The following is a 21,677-nucleotide window of genomic DNA, read 5'->3' as shown; positions in this document are numbered from 1 at the left end:
TTGATGGACCCATGACTGGTGCTTTTTGAAAAAATATTGGTTTATTAATTTTTTTATAGTACAGCTTACCATAGTACAGATTTGACTTTATAATTTTGGATTTCCTCCTTTTTTATGTTTGCTAAGTAGATCTCAACTTAAAGAATTCTGATCTAGGTAGAAATTTATAAATTTCTTAACTGTATCAACATTTTATTAAGAGCACAGCAGTCTTAAAAGATCATATAAGTCAAATTTTCCAAAATGCAATATTCAATAAGACAGAGTCTGTTTCTCACTTATGAAGAAGGCAAAATTGATCATTCTTCCAACCACTAGTCAAGCCTACTATTTTCACAAAGATTTGGGTAGGCAAATTGAACTGCTCTGTGATTTAGGTATTTGAGGGGGGGGTCAGAAAGTTTGAATAGGTTTTTTTTTTTTAAAGTTGTGTCCATGGGATGTGTTAAATCTCTATCATATGTCTGTAAAAATTCTTATTTGTAAAATTTGTAGTTCTATTGAAGATGAAAATTGCTTTTAAGGGAACTCATTAATCTTCAAAATTTCCATATCATTGTCAAAAGTTGTGTTATAGGAAAAGATTGGAAAAGGTTTTGTAAGCATCCTCTGAATTACTATTTTTGCCACTAGATCTTCTAAATGATTAATGAAGTTTGAAATATTTAGTGTTTAGGGAATACAAGTAATCTTTCGCTTTTCTCTTTTCAGGGGTAGACTTAAAGTCTGAAACAGAAGGTTTCAGTGCATCAAGCAGTCCAAATGACTTACTCGAAAACCTCACTCAAGGGGAAATAATTTATCCTGAGATTTGTATGCTGGAATTAAATTTGCTTTCTGCTAGTAAAGCCAAACTTGATGTGCTTGCCCATGTATTTGAGAGTTTTTTGAAAATTATTAGGCAGAAAGAAAAGAATGTTTTTCTGCTCATGCAACAGGTAAAAAATTCATTTAGTTAAATGTGATCAATATTTATCAGACTCATCACCCAATAACATCTCCTTATGTATAACCCAGCTTTTCTGAAAATTATTTGAGATGATTACTTATCTTTTCTGGTACCTCAGGTGAATACCTACAAGTGGTATTCCAAAATCTTCTAATTCCATAGTTTTCTAAAGTAGCATAGAAAATTAATGTCCTTTGCTAGCCAGTAGTAAATCCTCATCTATTTCTGAGACTGGGTAATATTTTTAAAAATGCATTTAATTTTAATACATGCTCGCTGTTTTGAAAAATCAATCAGTATAAAAAGAAAATGAAAATTAGTATAATCCTACACATAGTAGTCTTTTTAGTCATTTTTAAATACATATATACATATATAGTAGATACCCTATCATAGAATTTATTATGACATTGCAGTTGTTTCATGCTTCTGTGAGGTAAGTAATTTAATTTTGTATTTTTTTTAATCTTCAGGGAACTGTGAAAAATCTTTTAGGAGGGTTCTTGAGTATTTTAACACAGGATGATTCTGATTTTCAAGGTAAGTTGAAACTGTTTTAAACAATAGCTCTGAAATTATTTTATGTGAAAAGTTGATAATAATGGCTTCTGGCCAGGTGTGGTGGCTCATGCCTGTGATCTTAGCACTTTGGGAGGCTGAGGTGGCAGGCGGATCACTTGAGCCTGGGAGTTCAATACCAGCCTGGGCAATATAGAGAGACCTGTCTCTATAAAAATTAGCCAGGTGTGGTGGTGCATGTCTGTGGTCCTAGCTACTTGGGAGGCTGAGGTGGGAGGATCGCTTAGGCCCAGGAGGCCAAGGCTGCAGTGAGCCATGATCATGCCACTGCACTCCAGTCTGGGTGACAGAGCAAGACCCTGTCTCAAAAAAAAAAAAAAAAAAAAAAAAAAAAAAAAAAAAAAAAAAAAAAGGCTTCCATTGGCATAGTGCTCTGTGATTTCAAAAAAGTGTCTTTATATGCATTATCTCGTTTGTTCCTCAGATCCACACAATGAAATAGCCAGAGTGCAAGTATGTTTATAGAGAGGAAAATCTAGATTCCAAGGGGTTGAGTTGTTCAGGGTCTTATACAAAGAAGTGGCATAGTGGGGACTGTAACCCAGTCTAATGCCATGTTGTTGCCATATCTGGTATTGATTAATCTGTACTTGGTACTTCTCAGACATTTGAGAAATTCATAATGAATGTATAATATGATTGCTAATCACAAGAAATCTAAATTTTAGTTGGAGAATTAAGGCTAGCCTACACGAGACTTTAATTTTGGTTTGTATGATGTTTTCTCATGATTAAATTCAGGTTATACGTTTTTGTCAGGAATACTCAGAAGTGATATTGGGTCCTTTTGAGTGCATCATATCAAAAGGACTTATGATATCTGGATCTTACTACTGGTGATGTTAACTTTGATCATGTGGTTAAGGAGGTGTTTGCCAAGTTTCTCTATTGTAAAGTTACTATTTTCCCTTTATAATTAATAAGTATCTTGTGGGGAGATAACTTGAGACTATGTAAATGTACTTTTTCTCATTCTTTCATCCACTAATTTTAGTATTATGAAAAAAATATGAAAGTATGATGATTCTTGACTGGAACAGTTAATTCTGTGGTATCTGCCAAATAGTGATTTTCTGTTTCCATCATTCCTTCATTTATTAACTGAGATTGTACTGTAAGGAAAAGCTTTCTCTTCTCATTCATTTACTTATTTAGTATATGGGTGTATTTTTATTATTTTGCTAGACACTTAGTGAACCCTTGTGATCTGAATATGTGTTTTTAACTCTGAGAAATTATATGCCATTATTTAATGACAGGTTTATTGGGATATAATTCCCATACCATAACATTCACCTATTTAAAGTGTATAGTTCAGTGTTTTGTAGTAGGCAGTTTATTTACAGAGCTGTGCAACCATGACCACAATTAATTTTAGAACATTTTCATCACCCCCAAAAGAAACCCTGTACCCTTTAGCATTTATTGCCTATTGCACCTTAACCCTCCCCTGCACGGATTCTTCTGCCCCTGGCAATCACTCATCTACTTCCTTTTCTGGATATTTTTCATATAAATGGAATATGTGGTCTTTTGTGACTGGTTTCTTTCACATAGCATGATGCTTTCAACCTTCATTCATGTTGTAGCATGTTTCAGCACTTTAGTTCTCTTTCTAATCATTTTTTAAATTTTTTACTTTGCATAGATTCCTTTTTTCAGTGTTTTTTTTTTTTTTTTTTTTTTTTTTTTTTTTTTTTTTATGACAGGGTTTTGCCCTTGTCGCCAAGGCTGGAGTGCAGTGGTGCGATCTCAGCTCACTGCAACCTCCACCTCCCAGGTTAAGCAATTCTCCTTCAGTTTTTATTAATAGACTTTATTTTTTAGAACAGCTTTAGATTTACAGAGAAATTGAACAGATATTATAAAGAGTTCCCCCATTACACCCCTCCCTGCCAGTTTTCCCTATTATTAACATCTAATTTTTTATGATATATGTATTATAATTAATGAACTTATATTGATATGTTATTATTAACTGAAGTCCATAATTCAGATTTCTTAAATTTTTACTTAATGTCCTTTTTCTGTTCAAGGATTTTATCCAGGATAATACTACATAATAGTTAGTTGTCATGTCTTCTTAGGTACCTCTTGACTGTAACAGTTTCTCAGACTTTCCTTGTTTTTGTTAGCCTTGACAGTTTTGAGGGGTACTGGTCAGAATGTCCCTGTATCAGAATTTGTTTGACATTTTTCTCATTGTGCTATCTTGTGATTTTGATTTGTATTTCCCTAATGATTAGTGATGTTGAACCTCTTTTCATGTACTTATTGGCCATTCGTATATCTTGTTTGAAGAAATATCTATTCAAGCCCTCTGCTTATGTTTGAATTGGGTTGTTTCTTTTTTTGTTGTTGAGGTTTAAGAGTTCTCTATATATTCTGGATATTGATTTCTTATCAGATATGTGATATGTTAATATTTTCTCCCATTCTGTAGGTTGTGTTTTTACTTGTTGATAGTATCCTTTGATGCACAAAAGTTTTTCATTTTGAAGTCCAATTTATCTATTTTTTTATTTAGTTTGCTGTACCTTTGGTGTCATATCTAAGAAATCATTGACAAATCCAATATTATGGAATGTTCCCCGTAAGTTTTATTCTTAGGTATATATAGTTTTACATTTAGATCCTGAATTCATTTTGAGTTAAATTTTGTATACGGTGTTAGGTAAGGACCCAACTTTATAATTATTATTATTATTTTGCGTGTGAATATCCAATTTTCTCAGCATCGTTTGTTGAAGAGACTGTCCCTCCCCCATTGAATGGTTTTGGCACCTTTGTCAAAAGTCATGATTATGCTAGGGGTATGGACTTTTGAGAGGAAGATAATAGAAACAAAGTGCCATTGTCATTAAATCATATCAAGGGTACATATTGTCAACATGATTTATAATTGTTGATGTTGACCTTGATCACTTGCATTAAGTAGTGTTTGTCAGGTCTCTCCACTGTAAAGTTACTTTTCCCCTTCCCTGCTTCTTTTCTTTTTTGGCTGAAATAACATTCCATTGTGTGGATATACTGCATTTGATTTATCCATTCATCAGTTGATGGACATTTGGGTTGTTCTCCTTTTTTGCTACTATGTATAATGCTGCTGTGAACACTCATGTACAATTTTTTGTGTGAACATATGTTTTCATTTCTCGAGTCATTTATTTTGTGTCATATGGTAACTCTGTGTTTAATCATTTGAGAAATTGACAGACTGTTGTCCAAAATGGCTATACCATTTTATATTCTTACCATCAGTGTATAAGGGTTCTAATTTCTTCACATTCTTGCCAACACTTGTTATTATATGCCTTTTTAATTATATCTATCCTGGTGGATATGAAGTGGTATCTCATTGTGGTTTTGATTTGTATTCCCCTGAAGGCTAATGTATTAAGTATACCTTTGTGTGTGCCTTAGTCCCATTTGTGCTGATATAATGGAATACCACAGACTGAGTGATTTGTAATGAACAGAAATTTATTTTCTCACAGTTCTGGAGACTGAAAGTCCAAGATCAAAGTGCCAGCATCTGGCAAGGGTCTTCTTGCTGCATCCTCACATGGCAAAATGCAGAAAGGAAGAGAGGCAAAAGGGGGCTGAACTCCCCCTTTCATAAGGGCATGAATCACACCCATGAGGGCAGACTCCTCATGACCCAGTCACCTCCCAAAGATCCCATCTCTTAACACTACCACAATGGCAACCAAATTTCAACTTGAGTTTTGGAGGGGACAGATATTTACACCATAGCAGTGTGCTTTTTAGCTATTTGCGTATTTTCTTTGGATTTCTTCAGAGAAATGCCTATCCAAATCCTTCAGCCATTTTTATACTGGTGATTCATGTTTTGATTATTGAATAGTAAGAGGTTTTTTTTATGTATTCTAGATGCAAGTTCCTCATCAGATATGTGGTTTGCAAATATTTTCTCCCATTCTTTATGCTGTTTCTTAACTTTCTTGATGGTTTACTTTGAAGCATGTTTTAAAAGATTTTTATGAAGTCCTATTTGTCTATTCTATCTTTCATTGCTTTGCTTTTAGTGTCATATCTTAGATCTAATACAGGATTATAAAGATTTATTATTTTAAAAAATAAGTTTCTCCTCTCCATATTCCCTCCTCTTTTTTTGTATTCTAATTGTTATCTTGAGCCTCCCAATTGATCTTGCAAAGATAAGATTATCTTTCCTGTCATATTGACTACATCACTGTTTTTGTGCTACATTTTGAGACATTTTTTCAATCCCAACCTTTTATTTAATTTTTTATTTCGGTAATTTTAATATTTAAGAGCTCTTTTTTGATTGTTTTCTGGTTATTTCTTTTTCATATAAGGATATAATATCTCCTTGTATATATTTGATTATAGTAATAAACATCTTAAAGTTTCTTCTGTCCCCAAATTATCTCTTTTTCCTCTGGGGTCAGTTTTGTCTGTTTTTTTGTTTTTTAAATATTATTTTTACTGATTTAGGTTGCTAATTCTCTAATATTTTTATGAACCTTTTTAGACCATTTATATTTAATAAAACTGTTGGAGATTTCCTCTAATATTGTGAAAGTGAATTTGTTTTCTATTTTGGCCTCTTTCCTGAGTGGGTAGTATGTGGAAGAGCTCTGTGTGAATGTGCCATTGGATGATTAGGGGCTTCCCAAACACCCTAATGAAGAGAGCTTTGCTTTGGGGGACCATTAGGGATACTATTACCCTACATGGCAGTTTGCATACCTTAGAAAAATGCATCTTTCACATATAGGGCTTGGCTGGCGTATAGTGTCTTTGCACTGAGAAAAAAGGCATCCCTTTCTTGATCCAGGCATCACAGCCCAAAACCAGGATGCATGGCTTGGCATACAGCATTCAGACTTTATTTTAGTCTCTACTTTTCCCTTTGGTTAGGCAGTTTGTTCAGTCTGCAGACTGTACAGTTACACTCAGTAGCCATGATGCTAAAAGCCTGTATACACCTGACCATTTCGTTTATTTAGAGAAGAGTTATCAGGTTTGGGACCTAAAAGTGAATACTGAACTATCTGTGCTCTGTACTGAGAAACAGGAGAGAGGTGGATATTCACAGACAGACCTTTCGTTAATCCCTGTATTGTCGGCCGCACTGTCACTTTCTCTCCAGACCTTAGATGGACAGCTCGGCTTCTTACTGCTCTGAACCTCTTTGTAATTCAAAGGAATTCTAGGTTGCAGCTTTCTCTTATACATCTACTTTTCCATCTTCAAGAAATATTTTTAAATCTCTTACTAGATGTGCCCCAATGCCCACTGCCCCCACATATTTTTGCTGTTACGGATTTCTTCCTTCTTATAATTCTGTACTTTAATGCTATGAGTTTTCAGTAGTACACAGAAGCAAGTGTATATATCCATTTCCCCATTTTTAACTGGAACCTCTCAGTTTTGAACTGGAAAAAAAAAGTAAGCACACACACTGATCATATTATTTTCCTACTTAAAAACCTTTAATGGATTCATGTTATGTACAGGATAAAGTCCATGCTATTTTATAGTCTCATTGCAAGTAGTCTCTCCAGATGTATGTACTATTTTGCTACTGTGTCAACTCATTGCTTCTACAAAATATGTTGCTTAAATATGGCTTCTATTCTCTAAACTCCAGGTCTTCCAAAACTACCAGTCTTTTAAAACTTATCTCAGGTTTTAAATCAAGATTATTTCTTTCAGGTCAAAGTGGAGATAATATTTATTTTCTAGGGTTTTTTGTTTTTGGTGAGGATCAGCTGAAATAAAGCATGTAAAAATACTTTGAACACTATAATTTGCTCTACAAATATTAGTTATTATTTTGCTCCAAAGAATTCTATGAATTTGTATATCACCATTTATGTTTTATGCTAAACCTATGATGGAATAAAGAAAATGTTCAAACTAAATAGTTTGTGGTATTTAAGTATTTAAATCATCTTTAATATTTCCACTACTTGTCATCTAATTTCGTACTTAAAAAGTGATAGATATAATTTAAACATTTTCAAGATAAGATAGCAGACTATTTTATGATATAGAAGCATTAGCTTAACAAATATTATATTGATTTATGTTTCTTTAAAGAATGCCCTTAGTTTACTTGTAGCTAATTAATCTTCAAGAAAAGTGAGCTCATGCTGGCCAGACATGGTAGCTCACACCTGTAATCCCTGAACTTTGGGAGGCCGAGGCAGGTGGATCACCTGAGGTCAGGAGTTCGAGACCAGCCTGGCCAACATGGTGAAACCCCGTCTCTTCTAAAAATACAAAAATTACCTGGGCATGGTGACACGTGCCTGTAGTCCCAGCTCCTCGGGAGGCTGAGGCAGGAGAATTGCTTGAACCTGGGAGGTGGAGGTTGCAGTGAGCCGAGATCATGCCATTGCACTCCAGCCTGGGTGACAGAGCGAGCCTCTGTCTAAAATAATAATAATAATAAAAATAATAAAAAGAAAAGTGGTTTTTGTTGTTTTTGTTGGTTGGTTGATTTACATTTAGTTATATTGCTATTTCTTCAGCAAATTTTGTGATTCCTATACTAGATTTTTTATAATCCATTCAAAAAGTGACAATAGTATTTTACCTCTTTTGGTGAAATTGCTCATTTATTCCTCTAATTGTGTACTAGCTTTAATTTTTTCCCTCTTTCTTTAATTTAGCATGCCAGAGAGTATTGGTGGATCTTTTGGTATCTTTGATGAGTTCAAGAACATGTTCAGAAGAGCTAACCCTTCTTTTGAGAATATTTCTGGAGAAATCTCCTTGTACAGTAAATATGCTATAATTTTTACATTTTTCACTGATAAATTCTTTCACTTACAATTTTTAATAGAATGTATTTTTAATTATTTAGAAATGTTACTAAGCTCTTTCTTTTGATGTGACAGTTGGTATAGGCAATTTCATGTTATTATGTGTGAAATACTCAATTATTTGCATATATTTTAACCATTTCACTTCAATTTGGATTAACCAGACATATCGCTGAGATTATATTTTCTTTACCCACCCCATCCCCAGTTTTTGTGCTTCAGAAAAGCTGAATAATTTTAATTACTAAAGAGAACTTAATTATGAATAGTTACAACCATCTTAGGGATTATCCTTTTCAAAAGGTTATTATCCACTATACTCTTCAATTATTGTCTATGCTTCCCCTTTCCATTGGTGTGGCTTAGTGTCTTTTAAACTATTATCTGCTAGGAAACCCATTTTTATAATGAAACCTTGACTAGAAGCATAAGCAAATAAGACAGAAAACTTTGGAGCTACTTTGTAGTGGGATTGGATGTTCCAGAGAACATCTAAGGCAGGGCGCCATGGCTCATACCTGTAATCCCAGCACTTTGTGAGGCCTAGGTGGGCAGATCACCTGAGGTCAGGTGTTCGAGACCAGCCTGACCAATATGATGAAACCCCGTCTCTACTAAAAATACAAAAATTAGCTGGGCTTGGTGGCATGCACCTGTAATCCCAGCTACTCAGGAGGCTGAGGCAGGAGAATTGCTTGAACCCAGGAGGCAAAGGTTGCAGTGAGCTGAGATCATGCCATTGCACTCCAGCCTGGGCAACAAGAGCTAAACTGCATCTCAAAAAAAAAAAAAAATCTAAACATGAAACAAATTAACCACAAAAGATTACATATTTTAAGAATGAAGGCTGGGCATGGTGACTCACGCCTGTAATCCCAGCACTTTGGGAGGCCGAGGTGGGTGGATCACCTGAGGTCAGGAGTGCAAGACTAGCCTGGCCAACATGATGAAACCTCGTCTCTACTAAAAATACAAAAATTAGCTGGGGGTGGTGGTGGGTGCCTGTAATGCCAGCTACTCCAGAGGCTGAGGCAGGAGAATCGCCTGAACCTGGGAGGCGGAGGTTGCAGTGAGCCGAGATTGTGCAACTGCACTCCAGCCTGGGCAACAGAGTGAGACTCTGTCTTAAAAAAAAAAGAATGAAATCTGTTTCATATTTTATCTCAGCTACGAGAAAATGAAAGTTTTAAAGATGTGGGAGATAGGAAGGTATTTAAATAGGAATGCTGATATGTGTGGGTATGTTTGTATTTTCATTTATAACCTAAATTTCAAGATTATTATGTACTTTATTACGTGATTAGAAAGTTTCATTTGTTTTTCTTTTTCTCTAGAAAATTCTTCTTCTGGGTATTCTGAAAATTATTGAAAGTGATACTACTATGAGCCCTTCACAGTATCTAACCTTCCCTTTACTGCACGCTCCAAATTTAAGCAACGGTGTTTCATCACAAAAGTATCCTGGGATTTTAAACAGTAAGGCCATGGGTTTATTGAGAAGAGCACGAGTTTCACGGAGCAAGAAAGAGGCTGATAGAGAGAGTTTTCCCCATCGGCTGCTTTCATCTTGGCACATAGCCCCAGTCCACCTGCCGTTGCTGGGGCAAAACTGCTGGCCACACCTATCAGAAGGTTTCAGTGTTTCCCTGTGGTTTAATGTGGAGTGTATCCATGAAGCTGAGAGTACTACAGAAAAAGGAAAGAAGATAAAGAAAAGAAACAAATCATTAATTTTACCAGATAGCAGTTTTGATGGTACAGGTATGATGACAGGATTATCTGATTTGTACACAAAGATTGTTTTCAGACTATAATTTTCCTTGAGCCGTAAAAATGTGGTAGTGTTCTTAACACTCTTAACATGTTCTTCACCTTAAATGCCTTACTTAGTGGTGGTAGGTCCTGACTTATCAAAGCATGAGTTGTCATAAAGCCTTGAATCTCTATTACGGAAACTTTAGTTTTTTATAGGGGTGAAGGGGACACCACATATACAACTTTTTCTGGGGTCATCAGCCCCTAAAGTTCCTTATGTGACTTCTCTCCTGGTCCCATTACTGGATTAGGGTGGCTCCTGATGTTATAAAAGGATAAAACCTTATAGCTGCCTTTCTTTCTGTTGTTTCCCAGCCCCTATTAGACAGTCCCCATTTCCTTTTCTTTCTCTCTCTTTTTTTTTGAGACAGTTTCACTCTTGTTGCCCAGGCTAGAGTGCAATGGCGCGATCTCGGCTCACTGCAACCTCCGCCTCCCAGGTTCAAGCGATTCTCCTGCCTCAGCCTCCCGAATAGCTGGGATTCAGGCGCCAGCAATCACACCTGGCTAATTTTATATTTTTAGTAGCGATGGTGTTTCACCATGTTGGCCAGGCTGGTCTCAAACTCCTGACCTCAGGTGATCTGCCCACCTCAGCTTCCCAAAGTGCTAGGACTGCAGGTGTGAGCCACCACACCCGGCTAATTTTGTATTTTTAGTAGAGACAGCGGTTTCTCCCTGTTGGTCAGGCTGGTCGCAAACTTCTTTCTCTCTTTTATTTCAAGTTCTCCTTCTCATGCCATGTCTTACCTCAGTGGCCCTCCCCTAGTTCCTGTCACAGAATGTTTAAATGCATCAGCCATTCTCCAACATTAGAATAAATTTCATTCCAGTTCCTTCTTTAACTGAAGAATTGCTATTATACTGCATCTTGTTTCTCATATGACTAGGGCAGAAAAAAAACTGTTCATTGAAAAGCAATTTATGGTGATGGAAAGTGAAGTAGGTAGGATAATTCTTAGGGCCTGTGGAATGAATGAAATGACTGGATGAGACAGATGTTTAGGGTTTTATATGTACATGGAGATGCAGGCCTCAGTAGCTCTTCATTCCACAAATCTTTCTCATCCAGTGGAACCTCTGTTTTAGGACACTATGCCTTCACTAGAATTTTCTGTTGTGGATTGAATTTTGCCACCTAAGAACTGATAGCTCTACATGTGATAATATTTATTATGCTATCTAATGTGCATTGAGTGCTTTCTGTGTATGTGTCACTTTGCTCAGCTGGTTCTATATACATTTTTAATCTTAACAAGTTAGTAAGTGCTCATACTATCTGTATTTTTAGAGGAAGTTAAGTAGCATGACCAAGTTATGTAGCTGGTAAGTGATGGAAAGGAATTGAAACCCACCTGTTTTTAATTCCAGAGCCTTAACATTGCTACTATACTATAAGCTATGCAGATTGCTTTCTCATGTTTTAATGGAGGCAATCTCAATGTAAACAGTCTCTTATAAAATGAATAAATATACATAGTGACCTGAGAAAAGTAAATATTGGAAAGTTTTTTCTTAATTTTTATTTTAAGGATATATTAGAAAACATATTTTAGAAAGATGATTTTGTATAAACACTTAAAAATAGTAGACATATATAAAAAGTTTTGAAGAGAGATAAAGAATATTTTGCTGCGATATCATACCTTTTACCTCTAAACTAACTGGTGCCTTTGGGCAAATTAACCTCTCAGCACCTCAATTTTGTCACCCTATATATATTTACCTTATAAGATGGTTGTGAGCATTAAGTTAAATATTTGTAATATTACTACTCTATAATTCCTAGGTACACACTGGTTTTGTCCTACTCTTTTATTTGCAGAAGTTCATATTTGGTATGGAACATTTTTAAAATTTCACATCAGATGTGAGTTCTCTGTATATCATATATCTTGGTCAGCAGCCTCAAAATAATCAGTGACCTTAACTCTTCTTTTTTAAAACTATTGTCATCGCTACAGGGAGTATTTTTTTAACATCGGTCATGGTTTTACCTGTTGAAAAATAGCAACTAATATGTATGCAGTCTAATAAGCAGTAGTGTTCTTTAAAAGTCTGAGCCTTTGGACATGTATTTTGGATTTTGATATATCATAACATAGCTTTACATAAAGTCACATGTATTATAATGACAAGTAGATCATCATACATCTTCAGGCAGTGCTGGGTTTTCAAAGATGAGGAAGAGGAGTCAAGATAAATAACCAGATAGCCCAAGCCTGTAAGCATTTACCCTAGCTTGCCTTAAAGAAACATTAGAGTTTCAGAATCACTTAGCAATTATATGCAAAAACTACTCACCAGGGAATATAAATTATGAATATATTCAAACACTAGAGTTTTTCCTTAAAATTTGTAATATGATATTTTTTTTTAAATCATGCCATATTGTGATAATTCTAGAATGAGTTTTGGTAGTGTGAGGCATGGACAATGATGTGTGCTCCCTGGACCAGGGTCAGTGAAGTCATAGTTGATAAAAGAAGCTTGGTACACATTGTAATAGGTTGTCACATAGCGGTCTGGTTACGCCCACAATTGTCCTCAGTTATTATACATTTTTTAATATCTAATAACTTTTAAAGTACTGAATTACCATTTTTCATCCCTCGTGCTTTTTTGGAGTTAACATCTATACTCTGAAAATATGGTTGTTTAGAACAGGTCAGGCTCAGACATTCTGGGTAGATAACCTACTACAAATGAACAAATTTGCTTTGTATTCTTCTAAATTCACTTTTCTACTCAGTTGTTACGAACCATTTTACTGATCATTCTAACATCTTTTTCTTATAGAGAGCGACAGACCAGAAGGTGCAGAGTACATAAATCCTGGTGAAAGACTCATAGAAGAAGGATGTATTCATATAATTTCACTGGGATCCAAAGCGTTGATGATCCAAGTGTGGGCTGATCCCCACAATGCCACTCTTATCTTTCGGTATTGATTATCCTCAGCCTCCCATGAATAGATAATGTATTTAAATAATTTGTGTAAGAGACATTAATGTGAAATCTACTAATAAAAGTTCATTATAGCAAAACAAAAAGTCTCATTTAAAAATATATACATTCTAACAGCTATTAATACCACTTTTATAATAGTGTATTATTCTATCCAAAAATCCATAAAGTCTAAAATATATTAATTCTCGGCTGGGTGTGGTGGCTCATGCCTGTAATCCCAGCACTTTGGGAGGCCAAGGCAGGCAGATCACCTGAGGTCAGGAGTTTGAGACCAGCCTGGCCAACATAGTGAAACCCAATCTCTACAAAAAATAAAAATAAAAACAAAAAAACAAAAAACCACAAAAATTAGCCAGGCATGATGGTGCATGCCTGTAGTCCCAGCTACTTGGGAGGCTGAAGCAGGAGTATCACTTGAATCTGGGAGGCAGAGGTTGTAGTGATCCCAGATCGCGCCACTGCACTCCAGTCTGGGTGACAGAGTGAGACTCTGTCTCAAAAAATAAATAAATAAATAAAAACAAAAAATAAATGAGTAAATAAAATACATTAATTCTCTGTTTGATTTTAGATCAAATACTGAAGTCTTATGCTATGGAAATATTCTATCAGATTGTAATGGTCTTAAGATGTTATTAACAGACATAAGTTTTCCATGTGCATTATATATTTAATAGCGATTACCTAATAAGCTTGGGTTCTCCTTGTTATCTTGTCCTTTTATACTATCTCCTTTATTAAGTAGTATAGATACAGGTCTTTTATTTGTATTGAGTATGAATAGTATGATACTATTTGTCTAAAACTCAAATCTAAACAAACCAGTATGTTATTTAGGAATATATACTTTGTAAACGTTACAAACATTACTAGGTGCCTTATGTACATTATCTCCTCATTCTTTCAGTAATCCCACAAAGTAGATTAGACCTCCAATACTTAGACATTTATATTAATTTTTCTATGAACCAAATAATACATTGTAATTTCTAAATGGGCAATGGCTATATAAATAGTAATAATATATATTTTTTTACAAACTGAATTCTGAACATTATTGCCTAAATTATGACTACCAGCCAATGAGCCTAATCTATTTTAGTTCATGAATTGAGGTAATGATAGAATAACTAAGTAACTTATGGTATAAAACGAAGACCTACTGACTTTTCAAGCACTTTAAAAAAAATAGAACTGATTTTTAATCTTACTTATTTAGAATTATAGTTACTATATGTATGTTAAACACTGAGGTCAGAATTTTCATGTTTTCAGCCTATGCCTTTTCTCTTTTTCTGTAGTGTGTGCATGGATTCAAATGATGACATGAAAGCTGTTTTACTAGCACAGGTTGAATCACAGGAGAATATTTTCCTCCCAAGCAAATGGCAACATTTAGTACTCACCTACTTACAGCAGCCCCAAGGGAAAAGGAGGATTCATGGGAAAATCTCCATATGGGTCTCTGGACAGAGGTAGGAAGCATTTTGAGAAAATGCATCTCAATCTCAGTTACAATGTTATGTTTCATTAGTCAATTATAGCTTCTGAAACAGAATACAGAAACTTCTAGGTTTTTACTATAATAAAATTTACTATATTTTTTGTTGTTTCTTTTTTTATTATTATTGTACTTTAAGTTCTAGGGTACATGTGCACAATGTGCAGGTTTGTTACATATGTATACATGTGCCATGTTGGTGTGCTGCACCCATTAACTCGTCATTTACATTAGGTATATCTCCTATGCTATCCCTCCCCCCTCCCCCCACCCCACGACAGGCCCCAGTGTGTGATGTTTCCCTTCCTGTGTCCAAGTGTTCTCATTGTTCAATTCCCACCTATGAGTGAGAACATGCGGTGTTTGGTTTTTTGTCCTTGCGATCGTTTGCTGAGAGTGATGATTTCCAGCTTCATCCGTGTCCGTACAAAGGACATGAACTCATCCTTTTTTATGGCTGCATAGTATTCCATGGTGTATATGTGCCACATTTTCTTAATCCAGTCTATCATTGATGGACATTTGGGTTGGTTCCAAGTCTTTGCTATTGTGAATAGTGCCGCAATAAACATACATGTGCATGTGTCTTTATAGCAGTATGATTCATAATCCTTTGGGTATATACCCAGTAATGGGATGGCTGGGTCAAATGGTATTTCTAGTTCCAGATCCTTGAAGAATCACCACACTGTCTTCCACAATGGTTGAACTAGTTTACAGACCCACCAACAATGTAAAAGTGTTCCTATTTCTCCACATCCTCTCCAGCACCTGTTGTTTGCTGACTTTTTAATGATTGCCATTCTAACTGGTGTGAGATGGTATCTCATTGTGGTTTTGATTTGCATTTCTCTGAAAAATTTACTATACTTTAACTTACAAATCTGTCAGAGTTGGACTTTTTTTTCCTATTGGTCATTTTCATGCAAAATAAGCCTCCTGTCGAAGTGACTGTTGAAAATTAATATTTGGGTTTGGGGAGCATGCAGATACCCAGAAATTTAGACATTTATGTATAACTATATATCAAAGAACAGAATCTGTAATTTCATCCTGCAAGCCCATATATTATAAAACTGAAGCCGTGATAATTATTTAAATTAAGTGGCTAATAAGGCTAATACCTAAATTAAATTAGGCTTTCAAAAGAAATTAGAATGACTAGCCTATGTATAAGGTGATAGATTCAGATAGAGTGCTAGAAATATACCAAGTGATAGATTCAGGGAGAGTACTGTATGATTTTTACCACATAGGAGAATTGTGAGCCAAGTTAATAAGAAACATCTTGTGGAATATCTTAATGTCAAATTTTAGCCTGTAGGAACTATAAGGTATCTTCGATTTGTAAGCATTGGGAAGTATTGTATTGAATGAAGTAGCATGAAAGAAGATAGAGAATTCGAAACTGTAATGTAGCATGGTAGAGGATTAAGCTGGTTGGATGAGTTTAAGTTGAATAATGAGAAATAAAAATGAATGGACATGGTGAGACTACTTAACAGGCTTTGAATGCCAAGCTGAGAAGTCTAGATTTAATCAAAGGGAATATAATACTGCATACTTACTATGTTGCAGACCTTTTGCTAGGTGCTTTATATACATCATCTAATTCTCTCAAAAATCCCTCAAAGTAGATTAGACCATGGAAATAACATATACCCTTAACACAGATTAACCTATTTTTATTCATTCATTTGTTCATTCATTACATTTATTGAGGAATTACAGTGTTTTGAGCACTTGATATATTAATTAGGCCTAGGGGACAATGGTAAACAAGATAGACACATTCCCTGCCTTCCTGGAGTTCACAGTCTGATGAGGAATCAGACAACAAGCAAACACAATTAAATGAATATTTACAAATGATGAAAAATACTGTGAGGCCCATGCTTTAAAACCCTGAGGCAGAAAATATCGAGTTTGACACTTACGATGGGTGGATCAGGGAAGGCCTATCTAAGAACAGGGTATTAAACCTGAGACCTGAAGGAGGAGATGGAATTTGCCCTGTGCAGGTGGGAGGAGGACAGTTTGAGGTGGAAGACAGGGCATCACTGCAGGAGGCTGCAGCAATTGATTGCTTACAGCTGTCCAGCCTCAATAATAGAGGGAGACAGGGAGCAGGAGCTTGTGGATTGCTTTACAGTCCATGGTGTCTGCCACAAGCAAGAACATGCTTTGGAAGTAAAATTAAGAGTTCAGTTTTGTTGTATTCATTTTAAAAAATGTAAAAATACGTAATTGAAGCCTAATTTCCATGTTCCATGTTCCAAATAAAATACTGTCTGTGACGTTCTCGATCTTCATAGCTGCCATGGCAGCTGTAGCCAATCAGCAAATTTGTTTCCAGAACCTATAGTTAAATCAGATGGAGCTGGGGCTGGAGTTGTAAGTAGAGAGCCCCTTTCTCCTAGGCACTCTCCACTCAATTTCTTGAGCTCTCAATATGTGCCAGGCACTGTATTAGGCACTTTATACAGATTACCTGATTTAATCCTCCCAACAATACTATAAAGTAGGTATATTATTATCCCAATTTTACATATGAGGCAACTGAGACCTAGAGTGACTTTCCCAAACTCATGCCACAAGTAAGGGGTAGAGCTGAAAGTTTAACCTAAACTCTGACCCTAGGGAGGGCCCATGCTTTAAAACCCTATGCTTTACTGCCCCTGCAGCCTTTTTCTGAATTATGTCAGCTGACAGGTAGAGGAACCATAAACTATTAGAAATGTTCAGAATGAGAGATTAGATTTTTATTGTGGACAGTCTGAAATTAGTAAGCATGGTCACTTGATTCACATATCACTCTGTTTTTTTACCCACCAACTTACAGCTATACTCCTTTGAGAGAATTGTTTGCCATTTGGCACAAGTTAATTTCATTGGTTAACAGAGCAAGTGACCAAGGACAAATATTTTATTCTGTTGACTTAAACTTGGTTCTCTAGTATCTTTGTCACTTTATAAGCTATAGAATAATTTCTAGGCCAGGCATGGTGCTTCATGCCTGTAATCCCAGCACTTTGATAGGCCGAGGCAGAAGGATTGCTTGAGCACGGGAATTCAAGACCAACCTGGGCAACATGGAAAATCCCTGTCTCCACTAAAAATAAAAAAATTAGCTGGGCATGGTAATGCGTAGCTGTAGTCCCAGCTATTCGGGACACTGAGGCAGGAGGATCACCTGAGCCCAGTAAGTCAAGGCTACAGTGAGCCATGATTGCACCCCTGCACTTCAGCCTGGGTGACAGAGCGAGACCCTGTCTCAATTTAAAAGAAAAAAAAAAAGAATTTCTAAAAGAATACATTTGAAGAGGCCTTTTAAAATAAGGTAACAGTACTGAAAATGAGTTAATACTTTCTATTAGTTGTTATTAACAGCTTACAAATATGGCAGAAATATATGGCACATAGTAGATACTTAATATTTGTTTAATTCATTTTGCATTCATCCTGCAATAGGTTTTCTTTCACCCTTAAAAACACTATTTTATTTTTATTTCATTGTTATATTTTTATTTTACTTTAGTTCTGGGATACATGTGCAGAACGTGCAGGTTTGTTACATAGGTATACATGTGCCATGGTGGTTTGCTGCACCCATCAACCCGTCATCTAGGTTTTAAGCCCCACGTGCATTAGGTATTTGTCCTGATACTCTTCCTCCCCTTGCCCCAACACCCGCCGACAGGCCCCGGTGTGTGATGTTCCCCTCCCTGTGTCCGTATGTTCTCATTGAAAAACTATTTTTTAAAATAAAAAATTTAAAACTATTTTAAGTCATAATGCCACTAGATGGCAATAGAGTTTCAGTCACAGCCATTTATTTGGTCAAGGAGAAGTATGTCATTGAATGTATCCCACATCTTTCCTTTATTAAAAAAAAAAACATTAAAATAGTTAAGTTTATATGTTATATGTGAAACAGAGAGCCTTAGGCAAAACTTTTAAAATAAATATACACAAAGTTGAATTTCTCATTAAGAGCTACCCGTGTTAGCTTATCCTGTCTTCATCTTACAAATTTTATTTAGACTTTGCCTTCATAGATTACTCTCATTATCTTAAAATGGAGTTTAAAACATTCCTAAATTAGGGGTAGAGCTCTGTGGTTTCACTAGTTGATGAAGTCCTCCCTGCTTTGTGTGTCTTTCTGTGAGAAAGCCTTATTTTGCCTTTTCCAGTACTGTCTTTTGTAAGCATTCCTTCACCGTTATCCATGAAGCAAAAGAGACTAATCAAAAGCTGCATAATCACTTAGCATTAAGAAAACAGAAAATGCAGAAAGTATTGGCATTTCAATGGCTAGACAGAAATTTTGAAGAAGTTATGTTTTTACTGATTAGTTTTCAAAGGCCTCATAGATGACATAACATTTTTGGAATGTCATGGATTCCAGTTTTTGGAATTGTTTGTCAAGATGGGAGACTTCTTGGCAAAATTAAGGGGAGGTGGTTGGTTTATATCTGTAAACCAGGAAGGTGCATATACAGAAGTCAAATGGCAAAGAAAACTTGCAGCAAATGTTTAGTCACATTTCCCATGGCCTGCCGTGGGATCATCAGGTATCTCTCTTTGGCTCCCCTCTTTCTGCAGCACCTTTGACCAAGAGACAAACAATTAGCCCTCCTCTCTTGCCCCAGTGCCAGCTGATAATGACCCAAGAAAATTGTTCAAGAATTCCCCATTGTAGGCCGGGTGTGGTGGCTCACACCTGTAATCCCAGCACTTTGGGAGGCCAAGGCGGGTGGATCATGAGGTCAGGAGATAGAGACCATCCTGGCTAACACAGTGAAACCCCGTCTTTACTAAAAAAAAAATACAAAAAATTAACCAGGCCTGGTGGCGGGCACCTGTAATCCCAGCTACTTGGGAGGCTGAGGCAGGAGAATGGTGTGAACCCAGGAGGCGGAGCTTGCAGTGAGCTGAGATCGTGCCAACCTGGGCAACAGAGCGAGACTCTGTCTCCAAAAAAAAAAAAAAAGAATTCCCCATTGTTAAATATTCATACTTTAAAAATACTTAGTACTAGACTTCCTAAAGTCATTGCTTTAACTTTGTTTTGTTTTTAATGTAGGAAGCCTGATGTTACTTTGGATTTTATGCTTCCAAGAAAAACAAGTTTGTCATCTGATAGCAATAAAACATTTTGCATGATTGGCCATTGTTTATCATCCCAAGAAGAGTTTTTGCAGTTGGCTGGAAAATGGGACCTGGGAAATTTGCTTCTCTTCAACGGTGAGTGAGCTATGATTGCACCACTGCACTTCAGCCTGGGCGACAGAGTGAGATTTTTTTCCTTTGAAACATTTCCAGTTTTTTTTCTCAGTTAACAAATATTAAACTAAGTAAATTAACCTGGCTAAAATATCCATCTATGTTCCTTTACTTGTGTTTAATAAGTACTGTATTTCCAAGATTCTAAGATATACTTTTAAAATATTTTAACGTTTTTGTAATCTAGTTGTGTCTTACAATTGATATATACATTTAATATAAAAATGTATTTCTTCCATCCTCAAAAAAGAGAAGCTCATATTAACTTAGCGTTTTTTTATACTGGATAATGTAGCATCATGACTAGTAAACTTATCTTGGTTGTCTCCTTTATAATTTTATTATATCTTATACAAATATCAAATTTTAGGGAAAAATGAAATATATGATTTTTAAAAAATATGTCCTTAAACCTCACACATAATAGCATTCAGACAGTGTTTATTGACTAAATAGGAAGGAATAAAGATATTGATTCAAATTTTAGTTAGAAATGGAGTTTACCAAGATATAGCTCCCATTATTTAAAAAATACAACAAAGTAAAATAAAACAGAAAACCTGTTTTCTGGCTAAGGAGCAAATGGAAATGTTATGATTTAATTAAAAGCTTCACAATTAACTTTATATACATTAATTCATCTTCCATCATAGTTGACATAGGTTATTTTCTCGTTACACCAATTTCGAAATTGAGGCTTTATCAATTTTATAAAATATAGTGAACAACTGAAAGAATCTGGCTACAAAAAATAATTCCTGGTTTCTTGCTTTTTATGAAAAATTCTGGTTAGGGTGTTTTAAATAACTAACTTTATTTTTCTGCTATTCAGGAGCTAAGGTTGGTTCACAAGAGGCCTTTTATCTGTATGCTTGTGGACCCAACCATACATCTGTAATGCCATGTAAGTATGGCAAGCCAGTCAATGACTACTCCAAATATATTAATAAAGAAATTTTGCGATGTGAACAAATCAGAGAACTTTTTATGACCAAGAAAGATGTGGATATTGGTCTCTTAATTGTAAGTTTTAATTTTATAAATTTTAATTTTATAGTAAATGTATTTAGGTATATTTATTGTAATGTATAGTTATGAATTAGATTTCTAAAGATTTTAATGTGGTTCCTTATCATTTTCTTTTCTTAGAATTATGTTTTTTTCTGAAAAAAATTGAAACACTTTGATCTCCTTTCAAAATTTGTTTCAGGCTTTATATTTATATCTCCTTTTCCTTGAAATTATATTTCTATAAAAAGTTTATCAGTTTAGTTTATTTTATACCTACTAATTATTCAGGAAAAATGTTTATGATACAGTGAAAATAACACTTGTTAGTTTGACATACTCCTAAAAAATGTTGCTCATTATATTTTCTTTCCATACTTATAAATAAATAATATCCATTTATAATGTTAGTTTTAGTTACATGTATTCAGGTCTTAGAAAACCTACTCTTTTTTATTTTTTATTTTTTTTTTTAAGAGACAGGATTTCACTCTGTCACCCAGGCTTGGGTGCAGTGGTGTGATCATGGCTCACCGCAGCCTTGAACTCCTGGGCTCAAATGATCCTCCCACCTCAGCCTCCCAAGTGGCCGGGCCTGTGGTCATGCATCACCACACCGGGCTAATTTTAAATTTTTGTAGAGATGGAATCTCGCTTTGTTGCCCAGACTAGTCTCAAACTCCTGGCCTCAAGCGATCTTCCCGTCTCAGCCTCCCAAATGGTGAGATTACAGGCATGAGCCACCATG

The 21,677-nt window shown here is 35.5% G+C and overlaps 1 protein-coding gene across 16 annotated transcripts in view; it reads left to right on the top strand.

Moving 5' to 3' along the window:
* LYST (lysosomal trafficking regulator) overlaps positions 1-21,677 on the top strand; it is a 222,683-nt gene that overhangs the window by 81,905 nt on the left and 119,101 nt on the right. For all 16 annotated transcript variants that reach the window (XM_011544032.2, NM_001301365.1, XM_011544031.2 and 13 more), the window contains 8 exons: positions 712-938; positions 1,423-1,489; positions 8,197-8,306; positions 9,684-10,110; positions 12,964-13,108; positions 14,436-14,609; positions 19,722-19,882; positions 20,754-20,944. In XM_011544032.2, the coding sequence (XP_011542334.1) occupies positions 712-938; positions 1,423-1,489; positions 8,197-8,306; positions 9,684-10,110; positions 12,964-13,108; positions 14,436-14,609; positions 19,722-19,882; positions 20,754-20,944 (1,502 nt within the window). The remainder of the gene's footprint in view (positions 1-711; positions 939-1,422; positions 1,490-8,196; positions 8,307-9,683; positions 10,111-12,963; positions 13,109-14,435; positions 14,610-19,721; positions 19,883-20,753; positions 20,945-21,677) is intronic.

Source organism: Homo sapiens, chromosome 1 (assembly GCF_000001405.40).
Source record: "Homo sapiens chromosome 1, GRCh38.p14 Primary Assembly".
Taxonomy (NCBI): Eukaryota; Metazoa; Chordata; class Mammalia; order Primates; family Hominidae; genus Homo; species Homo sapiens.
This window is presented reverse-complemented; position numbering and strand designations above follow the sequence as displayed.